Genomic DNA, 3,486 nt, shown 5'->3' on the forward strand with positions numbered 1-3,486 from the left:
TAAAACTAAGTCCTAGAATCCTGCCTCAAAGTTTTCTAAATGAAGTATAAATGAAATACTTTTTGCAACCAAATAAGTAATTTGAACATTACAAATGGCAATTTGGTTGGATGTGGTGGCTCATTCCTGTAAATCCCAGTGTTTGAGGAGGCCAAGGTGGGGGGGATCAGTTGAGGCCAGGAGTTTGAGAACAGCCTAGGCAACATAGGGAGATTCCATCTCTACAAAAAAATAAAAAATATAAAATAGCCGCATGTGGTGCTGTGTGCCTGTAGTCCCAGCTACTCAGGAGGCTGAGGTAGGAGCATCGCTTGAGCTCAGGAGGTCAAGGCTTCAGTGAGCTGTGACTGTGCCCCTGCACTCCAGCCTGGGTGATAGAGTGAGACCCTGTCTCAAACAAACAAACAAACAAAAAGGCAATTTAACTCCAACTTCATGCAAGCTGTGAGTCAGAATAATGCCATAAGGATTTTTTAAAATAATTAATGGCCTTGTTGCCCTTTGGGATTTCTTCCTTTTCCTCCTCCCCACACTGTCATTTCCCCAGACTAAAAAGATTTTAAAAACCAGCAAATAACTAGCAGTCCACATCTTGATTATTAGGTTGATTTCAAGCTTTCATAAACCCCATGGTGTACGATGAAACCTCAGGCCCTATAGTCCTGAGTAGTTACCAGTTTCCATCACAAAAGACTCATTATTGCCTCAGCCTGCATCCTTCCCAATTATTCAGCCCCAGGTTAGCATGAAAGGACCTGCCCTTCTTCCGGCTTTGACTAGTTTTTCTTGCAGCGGATTCATTTCTGCTCACAAAACAGTTTTTTTGTAACCTATTAAAACACCCAAAATACAGGCCCGTGAATGGACACTCCATCCTGTTGTTACTTGGCACCAGGGAGGGTGTGCTTCAAGCAGTGGAGCCTCAGCAGGAGATCTCTGGAAAGCATGGCAAATATCTCTCCACATCTACTGCTCATCCCTTAAAACTGGTGATGGCTTAGATTCCTGTGGGGAGACTCCATTACCCAGGGCATCAAGTGAGCATCAGGGACAACAGATAAAGACCATGTTAATCTTGAAACCAAAAGGATACTACGCCCAAAAGTCAAACCTCGGCCCCCACCTGAATAGTTTCTATTCATGTAATATCACCTTATTTAAAATGGGAGATGCAGTAGAAGGATGGTTACCAGAGGCTGGGAAGGGTAGTGGAGGGTTCAGGGGGAGGTAAGGATGGTTAATGGATACCAAAAGAACAGAAAGAATGAATAAGACCTACTATTTGATAGCACAATAGGGTGACAATAGTCAATAATAACTTAATTGTATATTGTTAAATAACTTAAACAATGTAATTGGGTTGTTTATAACTCAAAGTACACATGTTTCAGGGAATGGGTGCCCCATTCCACATGATGTACTTATTTCACATTGCATGTCTGTATCAAAACATCTCATGTACCCCATAAATATGTAAACCTACTATGTACCCACAAAAATTTTAAAAAATAATAAAATATATTAAAATAAATTAGTTAATAAATACAATGGGAGATGGAATATCCTTTGAGCTATCATCCAACTCTGCTTCTGTATTCTGACAAAATGTGTATATTCTGCTGCCTCAACCAAATTATCCCCCCATCCTTGGCCCTACAACCATTTTTTCCACAGAATTAGTCAACACACACACACACACACACACACACACACACACACACACACCCTAACTGTTCCCAATTTAGATGGTATTATAATCTCCAACAGTGAATGTGGGTGCCCTGTGATATTGGGCAGTTTCACCAGGAGGAAGCCACTTCTGACCTTTTCTCCTGGAAAATGAACCAACAGTCAGATTCACCTAGAAGCCACCCTTATGTTCCATTGTCTGATGGATAGTTCAACCTTAGACATTGATTGACTCACAGTGTTGTTGAGTCCAAAGCTCGTATTGCTCACTGCATGAGGGCTCTCATAAGTCGACAGATAAGGTGTTAAGGAAAGGAGGGCATCTTTATTTCAGGGAGCCAGCAAACCAAGAAGATGGCAAACTGATGTCCTAAAGAACCATCTTAAGTGGATAGATTTTTAGGCTTCTTTTAAGTTAGGGGAAGGAAAAACAGAGAGGGGTTAAGGTCCATAGGTGACTGGTGACCACACCCATCTGGGCATCAGCAAGGATCTGAGGAGGTGGCAGAACTTTGTCTATGGTTAACTGTTTGTCAGATCCGCTTTGTTCCTATAAATCTTTAAGACAGCATAGTTGTTTGTGTGCATACTTCCTTATCTCCTGGGGGTTAGTTTTGGGAAGCAACTATTATCATCCTTGTTTTAAAGTTAAACTGTAAACTGAATTCCTCCCTTGGCCTATGTGCAGGAATGAGCAAAGACAGCTTGTAAGGTTAGAAGCAAGATGGAGTCAGCTATATTAGATTTATCTCACTGTTAAAACAGGTATAGTGAAGTGTCTGAACAACTTCAGGCATGCTTTGGTTATTGAATTCAGCCTCAGAATCACACATTTATTATGAAATGAAATGAAAACCTTTGTCATACTATTAATTTGTAAGACTGAAATAGATTTTCTAAAGGCATATTTACTCTCATTGTGGCAATCTGTCCTTATATTTAAAAATAATAATGTCAATTATCATCAAAGTCTGATAACTGATTCTACAGTGTACTGATATGTAAAATAAATCAATGAGCAACTTAAAGCCCTTTTCCAGTAGTTATTTCACGTAAACTAGGTGAATGGGAGCTTATAGGTTTCTGGTGAATCTGTGGCTCTTGATGTGGATACATCAAGAAATTTACATGTCCCTTTCTCTGACTTTTCTTCTTGCAATTTTGGGCATAAGAATATATAATTTGGTTATAAAAATAAAGGGCTCACATTCAGAATATGTAAAGAACTTCTATAAATCAATAAGAAAAAGATATCTACAGAAAATAGGAGAAGATCTGAACAGGTAATTTACAAAAGAAGATCTCCAAATGGTTTTCAACTTCATTAATAATCATGCCGATGCAAATTAAAATCACAATAAGATACCACCATACATGGAACAGAATAGCTAAAACTTAAAAGTCTGACAAACCAAGTGTTGGTGAAGGTAAAGAGCAATGAGACCTGTCATTTGCTGTAGAAGGGAGTGTATTGTGCTTGGTATTGTACATTAGATCTAAAAATTAGCATATGCTAGGACCCAGATATTTAACTCTTGGTGTAACTGAAATGCATATATATGTACAGCAAAAGACATACAAGAATGTGTGAAGCATTGTTATTTTTCATAGAAAAAAAACCGTGAAGAAATCTATATGAGACTTCTGGTTTCCAGCTTGGAAATCATCATTCCCATCCTTACGACAAGAAAAATGATGGACAAACTGAAAGCCAACATCTTTTCTTGGATCTGTCAGAGAATTGAGGTCACAAGGCAAACCACTGCCCCCAAAATCAGAGAGATGGGTGAGTACGGA

General features: G+C 39.1%; 1 annotated feature.

Annotated features, from left to right (window-relative positions):
• Positions 309-1,081: an enhancer, noted in NCBI's record as "OCT4-NANOG hESC enhancer chr8:68766696-68767468 (GRCh37/hg19 assembly coordinates)". NCBI's record gives its function as "activates a minimal SCP1, AML or CMV promoter by ChIP-STARR-seq in primed H9 embryonic stem cells {active_cell/tissue: H9 hESC(primed)}" and the evidence as "EXISTENCE:reporter gene assay evidence [ECO:0000049][PMID:30033119]".

The sequence above is a fragment of the Homo sapiens genome, chromosome 8, assembly GCF_000001405.40.
Source record: "Homo sapiens chromosome 8, GRCh38.p14 Primary Assembly".
NCBI lineage: Eukaryota > Metazoa > Chordata > Mammalia > Primates > Hominidae > Homo > Homo sapiens.